Source organism: Homo sapiens, chromosome 13 (genome assembly GCF_000001405.40).
Source record: "Homo sapiens chromosome 13, GRCh38.p14 Primary Assembly".
Classification (NCBI taxonomy): domain Eukaryota; kingdom Metazoa; phylum Chordata; class Mammalia; order Primates; family Hominidae; genus Homo; species Homo sapiens.
The window spans coordinates 44542111-44555601 of NC_000013.11; the positions used below are offsets into that span (position 1 = coordinate 44542111).

Consider the following 13491-nt stretch of genomic DNA (forward strand, 5'->3'; position numbering starts at 1 on the left):
AGATACGATTTTCCAAATTTCCTTTAGTTTCCTTTCCAGTCGTTTTCAATAGTTAACTTTCCAATAGTTTTCCTTCAGTTCTTGAATACTAATCCATAATAATATATAGGTGAGTGAAAATACAGGCAAAAAGAAAGAGGTACATTTTGATATAGGAAATACACCTCGTAATTTTCATTTTTAAGTTTACAGGCCTACTTCACTTTGAAAATGAAAAACAACTCACAAAAAACCAGATCTTGCTCAGATTAATATTGGTCTAAATTTAGAATTTCTCCTACAACAGGAACTTTACGTTAAATGCATCCAAATCTTTATTTATCACACACCACAGTATAATATAGATAAAAAGTACAACAAACTTAGATTTAAAAAACCAAATGTCCGAAGGTTAAGTTACACAACAAGTTAAATATGAGAGCTCACTGGAGAAAATGAATCTTTACAAACTTCCCCTAAGTCAGAACGCTTTCAGAATATAACTTCTTTATTTTGCCTGAAGTACCAAAACATAATAATTCAACACTCATACTCAGAAATGAATAAGCAGATTTCTCTAAGTAGAAATTATTTTGAAATCACTGAGGAGAGCTGGTAAAGAGAGCTTGCTTTAAGAGTTAATAATTTATGAAGACTCTGAATTTGATAATGTATCATTTATATAAAAAATGTAAAGATGCTTTCAAAATGGGGTCATTATTTGAAAAAGAAAGTGCAGCCTTTGTGAGAATATTATTGATGGAAGCTCCTAAAAATGATACAGGAAGCCCTTACCTAATTCTATTTTAGTGGACAACATTCTTCTATGTGATATTTTAAGAGGGAGAAATATTTATTACACTGCAAGACTTACATTTCAACCACTAGAGAAAAAATTTCAAACCAAAGCTAACAAAATCAGCAATGCTAAGCTGCTACCTCAAATGGCTGTTATAGATCTATTAACCTACCAGTACATCAATGAAATCATTTTAACATTTTCTGTAAATAATGAAATTTTTAAAGATTCTTACTGAAAATCCATGTATATTCAAATCAGAAGCAGTATTTTATATATAAATACCACTGAGAAAATTTTATGAGAAGTACATCAAATTAGGCTGTTTGCAATATTTGTTCTCAATATTAAATTATGAAATGAGCATACACAGCTTATTAGTTTTAAGCATTTCTAATATCTAAGCATAAGGGAAGGCTACACCTATTTAAGCTATGAAATAGAAGGCACTATGTTTCTACAAAGACTGATTTCTACTCAAATGTGCTACAACTGACTGATCTAAAGTTGAACTTAATGGTTTATAAATTTACCGATTATTCATTAACCTGGACATTCTACATACATTGGAAGTATCTTTTTATTCTTTACCTATTATCACCCATTCATACTGGTTCTAAGGCACTTCTACAAAGAAAACAAATTCTTCACAAATTCCTCTAAGTATCCAAAACAGTCCTAGCTGGCAGTAAGAAGAAAAGGAAAGAACATGCTTAACAGAAGCAGTGTGTCTTTTATCTCTAGACCCTAGAAAAGTGCTTGGCACACGGAATAGGTAACTCAGTAAATGCTTTACAAATAAGTTACTGATCAAAAAACAAAGGAGAATTTTGTCAAGTGGCCGATATCTAAAGTAGACACTAAAAAGTTCAACTTTCTAATCCTAAAGAAAACAAAAAATTTATCAAAAGTATAACTTTCGGCCAGGCACCATGGCTCACGCCTGTAATCCCAGCACTTTGTGAAGCTGAGGTGGGCCGATCACCTGGGGTCAGGAGTTCAAGACCAGACTGGCCAACATGGTGAAACCTTGTCTCTACTAAAAATACAAAAAATTAGCTGGGCATGGTGGCGCTCACCTGTAGTCCCACCTACTCGGGAGGCTGAAGGAGGAGAACCGCCTGAGCCTGGGAGGCAGAGGTTGCAGTGAGCTGAGACTGTGCCATTGCACTCCAGCATGGGTGACACAGCAAGACTCCGTCTCAAAAAATAAAAAATAAAAAATAAACTTTCATGTATCCATCTCTTTTTGGGGTCGTCAACTTCTAAGGATTAATTTTTTAGTATAGTTAGCAGAAATTTCAAAGGTATTATCCTGAGAGATGATACAAATGTTAGCCAAATTGCAACAATTACAGATTTCTAATATTCTTTTTCAGAGATTTAAAAGTAGTACAAAAACCAGATACTGCCAGAATATCCAATTTCAAAAAGGGAGAGATCTTACCCGATAACAAAACAAAAAGGCAAAAAAAAAAAACCCACCCAAGTTCTTCGGAATTAGTTAACTAAGGTATTGTACTGACACTGGAGGTAAAGATTATTTCTAAACCATAAATCTTGTGTGTATTATCAAATGGAATACACATTTTTTGAAAAAAAATAGGGAAGACTCTGAGCAAAGTTGTGTGTTAAAAAGAATTTTTTTTTTAATTAAAAAAAAAAAAAACCAACGGGAAGGAAGTCTGAACTTAAGGGGCTGAATACCATCAAGAGGATATGTGCTTAATCATGGACAGTAATTTCCTAAAAGAGAAGAAAGCTGTAATGAAAACAGAAAAACCTAACTATTAAAGCATTTTTAGAGCTCAACATCTAGCCAAATTCCATTATCTGTATATTTTCTCTTCAACCTTTTGGAAAATATACCATCTGAAAATGTTACCGGTATTCAAGTTAGTCCACTAGATATAAATATCAAGTATTTGTTAAAAGACAACCAACAGATAACCCAAATGTGTTCATGCTCCACTGAGGTAGAAGATGAAGTAAAACAGATGAAAAAGAAACAATCTACAATATATATATTTTAGAGTAGTTAATTCACTATAGAATAAAAGATAAAAGGCAATCATAGAAACACAGTTGCATAAACTATATTGACTATAAAAAAGGATAAGGCAACCTAAGGGTCAAGAAAACTAAATATAAAAATGATTAAATTTGGCAGGGCACAGTGGCTCACGCCTGAAATCTCAGCACTTGGGAGGCCAAGGTAGGCGGATCACCTGAAGTCAGGAGTTCAAGACCAGCCTGGCCAACATGGTAAAACCCATCTCTAATAAAAAATACAAAAATCAGCCGGGTGTGGTGGCACACGCCTGTAGTCCCAGCTACGTGGGAGGCTGAGGCAAGAGAATCGCTTGAACCCGGGAGGTGGAGGTTGCAATGAGCCGAGATCACACCACTGCACTCTAGCCTGGGCAACAAGCGAGATTCTGTCTCAAAAAATAAATAAATAAATAAAGCTTAAATTTGCCACTGACTCCTTAAAGTGAAAAAGGCTAGTATATGTCATTAAAAAAACCTTAGTAATTTTAAGAAGATCTCTAAATTGCTCTAACAAATACTTTTTTCATAATTAACCTATCCATTACTTTTACCTCGCTAGTGTCTTCTTCGTCTTGCTAGCATGAAATATTTAGCTTTATTCTTATAATGGCCAGCAGCACATTTTGGACCTATAAGGTACTGAAAAAAAAAAAAAAAAGGATAATCTTCCTACTGTATTTTTTCATTCTAGGATCTTGGGTTGCGTTACGTTCATAAGAGTGCACTTAGAAAACTCAGAAAACATGAAAGACCAGGCCAGGCGTGCTGGCTCACACCTGTAATCTCAGCATTCTGGGAGGCCAAGGCGGGTGGATCACTTGAGGCCAGGAGTTCAAGACCAGCCTGGCCAACATGGTGAAACCCCGTCTCTACTAAAAATACAAAAATTAGCCAGGTGTGATGGTGCATGCCTGTAATCCCAGCTACTTGGGAGGCTGAAGCACAAGAATCACTTGAATCCAGCAGGCAAAGGTTGCAGTGAGCCAAGATCGCGCCACTGCACTACAGCCTGGGTGACAGAGCGAGACTCCGTCTCAAAAAAAAAAATAAATAAATAAAAATACAAATACAAATAGATAAAAAAGAAAAGAAAGACCATAGCAACAAAACCACTTACGTTTTGCGAATTAGGCTGCCTTTACATTAATTCCTTTGGGTCTTTATCCATTTATGACAAGGAAAATAATGTATCAGTCAATGAAACAAAAAAAGATGTTAAATAATTAAATGTAAAAGATTCTGATCAAGCAAGAATCATCAATGGATACTAAAATTAATGGAAGTATGATGAGAAATAAGATTATTTACACAGTCTCAAAATATTCCCAAGACATGTGTTAATTACAAAGTGAAAAACAGTAACTTGATAGTTTAGAAACCTGGCAGGCACCTCCTTAACCAAATGATCAAGATGACATCACCAATAATGGGATGGATCACAATCATGTACCTCCTTATCTACTAATAAGAATATACCATCACTTCTGTCATATCCTTGCCAAAAACGCACAGATTAAGGACCAATGAAACTACCTAGTATTCTTCAAAAGTGTCAAAGTCATGAAAGGAAAGAAAGAATGAAGAGCAGGCCTAGATTAAAGGAGATTAAGGAGATATGACAACCAAGTACAATATGAATTCCTAAACTGGATCCTGGACCAGAAAAAGATCATTTAGTAGACAAGGTCAAAATTCAAAAATGCCTAGAGTAGTTGGTATTAATTTCCTGACTTCTGTACTATGGTTATACATGATACAAACATTAAGGAAAGCTGGGTGACAGGTATATGGGAATTCTGTGTGAAATACGTGTGTGTGTGTGTGTGTGTGTGTGTAGGTATGTATGTATGTACTTAGGGTGTGGCTCTGTCGCCCAGGCTAGGATGCGCTGAAACAATCGTGGCTCACTGCAATGTCCACTTCCCTGACGAGCGAACCTCCCACCTCAGCCTCACTAGTACCTGGGACTACAGGGACACACCACCATGCTTGGCTAATTTTTGTAGAGACAGAGTTTCATCATGTTGCCCAGGCTGGTCTTGAACTCCTGGGCTTAAGTAATGTGCCTGCCTCAGTCTCCCAAAATGGTGAGATTACAGGCATGAGCCACCACACCAAGCCTGTGTACTAAATTTTTGCAACTTTTGGTAAGTCTAAAATTATTTCAATAGAAAATTAAAAATATAGAACAAAACATCCTGAATATGGTTCCATACTCGACACGCCTATGGAATATCCACTGAGAAATTAAGAAACATAAATCTCCGATTTTTCATTCAGATGAAAAATTTAGTCCAATCTTTCTTTAAAAGCTAATCCTAATGGAAATGATAGCATTATGTCATGTTCTGTACTAATATCAGAAAAGTAACCAGATGTTAATAGTCTTTTTCTTTCCCTTTGGTAAACAGTTCTCTAGAGAACTTTAATTCAGAAGATAATATGTGAGAGATCAAAAGGGAAAATCTTTCCTACAAATAGAAAAACAATGTTTACATTAAATAGCAAGTGTGGAAATTAACTCCAGACTACAGCAAGCATATCATAGAACAGGTGAACAAAAAAGCAAAAGTTCTTTCCAATTTACATTATCATGTATGTTTATTCCTGCATTATTAAAACTGAAGACCTTCTCCTCATTTGTTTCTTCAAAAATTTTCGCAGGAAATAGAGTTTAGTGCCATAAATATCCTCCTTCCTTTTTTTAAATTAAAATTCAAGAGATAAACTCCAATGTATTAATACCTTCACTTACAAAGTTGGTTACAGGTAAATATTCATAACTTTTTGTTTTAATTTTTAACTTACTGAGAGCTTAGTATATGGTAGGTAATGTATTATGCTTTTAAAAAAAGAGAAACAAGGTCTTCCTATGATGCCCAGGCTGGAATGCAGTGGCTAGTTACGGGTACAATCACGGCACACTACAGCCTCGAACTCCTGGGCTCAAGCAATCCTCCTGTCTCAGCTACCCAAGTAGCTGGAACTACAGGAACTTGCCACTGTGTGCATTATTATTATGCACTGTATTATGCATTTTATATATATTGCCTCATTCAATCTTTAGCATAACCCTATCATATATGGAATATTATTATCACAACTTTACTTGATAAGGAAACTAAAGCACAAAGTGGTGAACTAACTCACCTAAGATCACATGTCTAGTAAAGAACAGGAAATTCAAAACCAGTTTGACTCTAGGACTCTGAGGTTTAATTTACATTTTTCCAAATCATATTATTTTGATTAACAACTGAGTACTTCTTTTTAAATACTTAGTATATAGACTGGGGCTGGGCGCGGTGGCGCATGCCTGTAATCCCAGCACTTTGGGAGGCTGAGGCAGGCCGATCACTTGAGGTCAGGAGTTAGAGACCAGCCTGGCCAACATGGCGAAACCCCGTCTCTACTAAAATAGAGACACGTCACTGCACTCCAGCCTGGGTGACAGAGTGAGACTCCATCTCAAATAAATAAATACTTAGTGTATGATAAAAGCTAGAATAAACATACTGTTTTAAGTAGAATTCTGAAACAACTTCAAATTCATTTAAACATACATCAATTGACAGTTAAGCAAGCTAAGCTTAAGCAAGTTAACTTGTTTTGCCATTTCTATCAACCTAAGAAATAGGGAATTTTACAAGACAGTAAAACTATGTAAAAATATGGAGTTTTACAAGACAGTAAAACTTCAAAATAAAGCGTAGCAAAATTTAACAACTTAATACCAGCAAGATAATCTAGGAAAAGATGTTTCTATTGAAACTAAAAAGCCCATATCTAAACATGTTAAAATGGTAATCAGAAATTCCTTTCACCTTTTAAGTATCTTCAAAAACCAAGACACAAAAAGGATTTTTTCTAACTAGAATTTCTAGTTTACCTGATACATATCTATTGATTTGCATAACAAATATATAAGATAGACTTTTAAATGTACAAGAACTTCATAATTTAATAAGTTTTATTATCCTAACATAATGTAAACATTATAGCAACAGTTTAAGTCACCATTTGTTATAAGCATGATTAAAATAATAATCTGACAATAATAAACTAGATTCAGAGCTCAATTCTGCTTAAAGACCCAGAGAAACAGTCTTTAGTTTATTACAGAATAGATAATAATCTGTATGAATGCTGTGGCTGACCTGAATTTTAATATATTTTAAGTATTACTTATGATAGCTTACAATATATCTATTCAAGTTCCTCCGTATATAATAAGATGAAAAGGTCATTGCCTTATCTCAACTTGAATTTAATAAAAAATATAAATATGATATTAGACATCTGCAGAAGCAATCAACATTTTAGTTAAAACAGGGCGCTTTCCAATTCTTTATCAATAAAGTGGGGTAGGTTTTGTAAAAGACAGAACACATCTACTTACAAATAAATCCTTTAATCTACTCTATCTTATTATAACTTATACAGCAATTGAGCCTAAAGTGACAAGGAAATATCAGTAGCTTCCACCAATCTCAGAAGGCATCCTCAGCCTTAGGGCCCATTTCAGCAAACTCAGAAATTAAGAAAGCCTGGGCTGGGCACAGTGGATCAGGCCTGTAATCCCAACACATTAGGAGGCTGAGGAGAGAGGATCTCTTGAGCTCAGGAGTTCAAGACCAGCCTAAGCAACATGGTGAAATCCTATCTCTACAAAAAATTAGCCAGGCATGGTTGCGCACACCTGTAGTCCCAGCTACTTGGAGAGGCTGAGGTGGGAGGGTGGCTTGAGCCCAAGGAGGCAGAGGTTGCAGTGAGCTGAGATCACACCATTGCATTCCAGCCTGGGGAACAGGGCCAAACCCTGCCTCAAAAAAAAAGAAAAAAAAAAAAAAAAAGAAGAAGGCGGCGGCGGCAAGAACAGCAAGCAAGCAACCAAGCTAGCTGTGTCTGTCAACTACTCATCTGGTAGTTGATTTCTATACAGTAATGAGGCTACAAACCAGAAAAATTTTAAATGTCCAACATGACATTCTAAATGTCAATACTGGAAAAAATAATTTGAATCCTGCTACCTTACTGACTATTCACAGTTTCCACAGCTATTTCCACTTTCCAAACATTTTAGGAATAAAATTTTGATAGCGACTAATCCACGTCTGGAAAGTAAAATGTTGCCAAAAAGAAAATGAAAAGGTATTAAGAAAGAACATCAACCCACCATTAAATTAACAATTTTAAAAATATGCTTTGATTTAAAAAGTATGTGGAGTCTAGTTAACATTGTAATAACTATCAGTAAAACTTCACAAAAGCCACAACGGATCTTAGTTTATGTCTTTGAAAGTGCTAATATTACTAGAACTCAAGTTCTTTATTTGGCAAGCTCCATTAAGAAATAAAGCAGCCGGGCACGGTGGCTCATGTCTGTAATCCCAGCACTTTGGGAGGCCGGGTGGGTGGATCACCTGAGGTCAGGAGTTCGAGACCAGCCTGACTAACATGGTGAAATCCCATCTCTACTAAAAATACAAAAATTAGCCAGGTGTGGTGGCGCATGCCTGTAATCCCAGCTACTTGAGGGGCTGAGGAAGGAGAATTGCCTGAACCTGGGAGACAGAGGCTGCAGTGAGCCGAGATTGCACCATTGCACTCCAGCCTGGGCAACAAGAGTGAAACTCTGTCTCGGGGAAAAAAAAAAAAAAGAAAAAAAGAAAAGAAGTGAAGCTAGTGTACATTCCCTTCAGTTTTTAATAAGCCACTTCTTAAAATATTATTCAGAATACCAGATTATAGTATTTCTAAATAGAAGAAAAGTTTATTTCCCTACTTCCTTCAAAACCAATCAGCCCAGCCTGGGCAACATAGTGAGACTCCATCTCTACAAAAATTTAATATTAGCCAAGTGTGGTGGCACACATCTGTGGTCCCAGCTATTCGGGAGGCCAACGTGGGAGAATCACTTGAGCCCTGGAGGTTGAGGCTGCAATGAGCTATGACTGCCACTGTACTCCAGCCTGGGTGACAAAGTGAGATCCAGTCTCAAAAAAAAAAAATAAAAATAAACCGGGCATGGTGGCGCCCACCTGTAGTCTCAGCTACTCAAGAGGCTGAGGTGGGAGGATCACCTGAGCTTGGGGAAATTGAGGCTGCAGTGAGCTGTGATTGCACCACTGTACTCCAGCCTGGGCAACAGAATGGAATCCCATCTCAAAAAACAAAAGCAAGAATTAGGCATGGTGACATGTACCTGCAGTCCTGGTTACTCAGGGAAACTGAGGTGGGAGAATCGCTTGAGCCTGGGGGCAGAAGTGGCAGTGATCCAAGATCTCACCACTACACTCCAGCCTGGGTGACAGAGCAAGACCCTGTCTCAAAAACTAAAACAAAAACCCAAAACCCCAATCAGCTGGGGGTGTGTGTGTGTGTGTGTGTGTGTGTGTGTGACCCTGTCTCAAAAACTAAAACAAAAACCCAAAACCCCAATCAGATGGGTGTGTGTGTGTGTGTGTGTGTGTGTGTGTGTGTGTGTGTGTGTCTGAGACAGAGTCTCACTCTGTTGTTGCCCAGGCTGGAATGCAGTGGCACAATCTTAGCTCACTGCAAACTCTGCCTCCCAGGTTCAAGCAATTCTCGTGCCTCAGCCTCCCAAGTAGCTGGGATTACATAAGCGTGCCACCACGCCTGGCTAATTTTTGTGTTCTTAGTAGAGACGAGGTTTCACCATGTTGGGCAGGCTGGTCTTGAACTCCTAGGCTCAAGCGATCCACCTGCCTTGGCCTCCCAAAGTGGTGGGATTACAGGTGTGAGCCATCGTGCCCGGCCGCCATCAGCTGGTATTTTAAAGATTTTGACATAGGCTGGGTACAGTGGTTCAGACCTGTAATCCCAACACTTTGGGAGACTGAGTTGGGAGGAATGCTTGAGGTCAGGTGTTCGAGGCTGCAGTGAGCTATGATTGTGCCACTACACTCTAGCCTGGGCAACAGGGCAAGGCCCTGTGTCTAAAAATTAAAAGTAAAAAAACAAAAAAAAGACCAACACTTTCAATCACTCTTATTTGGCACAGTAGTAAGAGCAGACACCATTTACGAACGACCAAGAACTTCACTAGGTGCATTATACACCTCTCTCCTTTACAAGGGTAGCTGTTATCCCCACATGAAGTTTATGCTGGCCATCGTAAAGGAATTCCCAAAAGAACCATGAATTCATTCCCTAATTTACCTGTATATCTTCAGAAATGTCTCCCAATAACCATCTTTTAGCCCCAAATCTTTTAGCAAATCTTATTCTCAAAATGACTTCAAGGTTTCTCCATTTTTGACAACCCTTTCTGTACTTCATATTTCATTTTTCTGATAAGCATAACCTAGGAAATGGATAAATAATAGACAAGAATGTTCAATTGGCTCCTTTACTTCACGAACACCATCAAGGGTTAACTCTCCAACATGAGGAACAGAGAACATAAAGCTAGTAAAATATCCCATACTGATGGCAATTGAAGCACGTAACAAACTGATCATTTCCCTACATTTATGAAGTTAACTAGTTCTTTCTAACTTATGTACAAGATTTCCGTCAGGAATATGCTACCACATAGAAAGTCTATTCCCCCACTAAGGTCTGCAAACCATTTACAAAGACAGGGCCAATTAAAAGAGCCTGCAAATATGTCAGTGCCGCACTTCTCAAAATGTGTTCTTTAACATCTGCCAGATCTCTACTTGTTACAAACACTCTCACATGACAATAATTATACTTTTATTTCTAATATGAATTGAATACTAATAGAAAATAAGGTGGTAGGCCGGGCGTGGTGGCTCACGCCTGTAATCCCAGCACTTTGGGAGGCCGAGGCAGGCGGATCACAAGGTTAGGAGATCGAGACCATCCTGGCTAACATGGTGAAACCCTGTCTCTACTAAAAATGCAAAAAATTAGCCGGGTGTGGTGGCAGGCGCCTTTAGTCCCATCTACTCCGGAGGCTGAGGCAGGAGAATGGCGTGAACCCGGAAGGCGAAGCTTGCAGTGAGCCGCGATCGTGCCACTGCACTCCAGCCTGGGCGACATAGCGCGACTCCATCTCAAAACAAACAAACAAACAAACAAAACGAAAATAAGGTGGTAAACAGAAAGGGAACTGTTACAGCAGAATAATAAATGTAGAGATGGGCTGCAGTTGAGGCCTGCCGTCACTTGACTATACATGACCAACGACATTTCTCATATATAAAATGAAGCAAACGAACATTTCTCAATCTGTGTTTCAAGGAACACTGGTTCTCCAGGTCAGTAACAGGTATTATATGATGAAAGAGTTGGATTTCAATAAAACCGTCTTTCTTCTTCAAAATGTATCGGTCTTCAATAAACTAAAATGTAATGTCAACTTCCAAAATATACAGACAAAAAGCATTCCCCCAAATTTCTGGGCTCTAATACTATTTTTTTTTTTCACTTTTAGAATCAGTATTAGAAAAAAACTAGTTTTGAAACTTTATAGATTTCAAAATCCAGTTCAATGAATGTTTGAAACTTAAAAAACCAGATATTGACTTATAATCTTACTTAAAACAAACAGCTTAATCCCATTCATTCTAAGGAGATAGTTTTCGGGCCCATATGGGACTGAGCATGGAAGAGATGGTCTTCAGGGCATAATGCCCATCTAAAACAATCTTTCAGAATGAAAAAGTTGAGAATCACTTAATTGGGGTAATGGTTCTATTTTAGAGTATTAACAAACTGCTACATGACGCTGTATTTCTTCCAAGTATTCCCCACCCCCATTTAAAAAAAGGGAAAGGTTGCTTTTACAACAACTTATGTTTTTGTGAATTTAGGAATTTCAAAGAACTGCTCAATAATCACATATAATACTGTCCTGGCAGCATGAGAGTCAGCGAAAGAATTAATCCCTGATCGCTCCACTGTATGTAATGAATTCGCTATTTTCTTATGCATTTAGAATGATGGTGCTAGATATATGCCATTCTTAGAACTAAGAGAGTAGGCACTCTTTTCCTGTAGGGATTGTCTTATGGACCCCAGGTGAGAAAGACTGCACCAAAAATGTCACAAAGGTACAGAACCGCTGCTTTAGAAAATTATGTATAACGCCTCTGAACAAGTAAACAAGCTTTCCATTTTAACTTACAGTGCTTAAGAAAGGAATCACTCTTACTTAGCACAGTAATAAAAACAGCCATCGATTTACAGAACTATCAAGAACTGAGCCAGGTGCATTATATGCCTTTCTCCTTTTATCCTCACAACAACAGCACGGGTAGCTATTACCTGCACATAACAGCTATGGAAATCAGGCTTAAAAAAGTTAACTCATTTACAAAGGTCATACAATGAAGAGGTAGCAGAAATAAGATGAGATGCCAGGGCTGATGCCAAGACTAACGTTCATTAAACTCTACCTCATTATGCTTATTCATCGATAGTCCAGATGCATCAATTCATTTGAATAGAAAAACTGTCATGTATACCATATACAGAATAACAATTGAGCACAATATAAACTTATTTGGATAATTGAGAAGATAAATCAAGATCTTATGATGCTTGAGTGTACTAGACGAAACTGTTGCAGACCAAAACCATGTCTTTTTTTTTCTTCATACCCTTAGTATCTTTGTTCAGTGCTAGGTATGTAACAAGCATTCAATAAATATTGAATGAGTATTTTTGAAGTAAATAAATCATCCCAATACCAGGAACAAAAAAAAAAAAAAAAAAAAAAAAGAGGTACTGTTAAAAACCTTCTAGGCTAAAAGACAATTGCTTAAACTACCTTAGGTAATTTTTCTAAAATAATTTTTATATAGATAAATTCGCTGATGCAGGCAATGAGGACACAGTGACCCTGACCGCAAACTGCACCAAATGTTTACCAAATTATTATCACCAAATCCCCTCCTTCTCTTCCACTCCTTCTAATGGTCTTCAACTCCCTATTTCTCTTGTCTCCTCTCCCCTTCTCATGTGTTAAGCCTAATTCAGATTACTGAATGAATGGTACTAATGGCATTTAAGTCAGACATTCATGAACTCAAATATAGTATAACTTGGTTTTTGTTAGGCCAATGTGTCCACTTGTTAGAAGCTTTTGTTTCTACATATTGGATCAATTTCCTAATAAGCCACTTGTAGATCCCTAAGGGCTAAGAGTCTGAATACAACTGGAAAGATAACTAGACCTCTAAATTAAAAAAAAAAAAAAAATCCAAAGTTGATCTTAGCCTGTCCATTTTATAAAAGGTAATCCAGTTTTAAAATATTATCTCTTAAGAAGATTCAATAATCACAAGTGTCTTGCAAAAATGCCAGAATGTTATTCTTAGGCCCTTGTGAATTTTTTTTTTTCCAGAAAACGTAAGCAAACAACAACAACAAAAGACTAATAAGAAATACGTAGGTCGGGCGTGGTGCGTCATGCCTGTAATCTCAGCACTTTGGGAGGCCAAGGAGGATGGATCACCTGACCTCAGGAATTTGAGACCAGACTGGCCAACAGTGAACTCTGTCTCTACTAAAAATACAAAAATAAGCTGGGTGTCGTGGCGCGAGCCTGTCATCCCAGCTACTCAGGAGGCTGAGGCGGGAGAACCACTTGAACCCACGAGGTGGAGGTTGCAGTGATCCGAGATTGTGCCACTGCACTCCAACTTGGGCGACAGCAAAAGACCCTG

General features: G+C 37.6%; 1 protein-coding gene across 10 annotated transcripts in view; it reads right to left on the minus strand.

Moving 5' to 3' along the window:
- Nucleotides 1-13491, minus strand: part of TSC22D1 (TSC22 domain family member 1) — a 145202-nt gene that overhangs the window by 109968 nt on the left and 21743 nt on the right. The window lies entirely within an intron of this gene.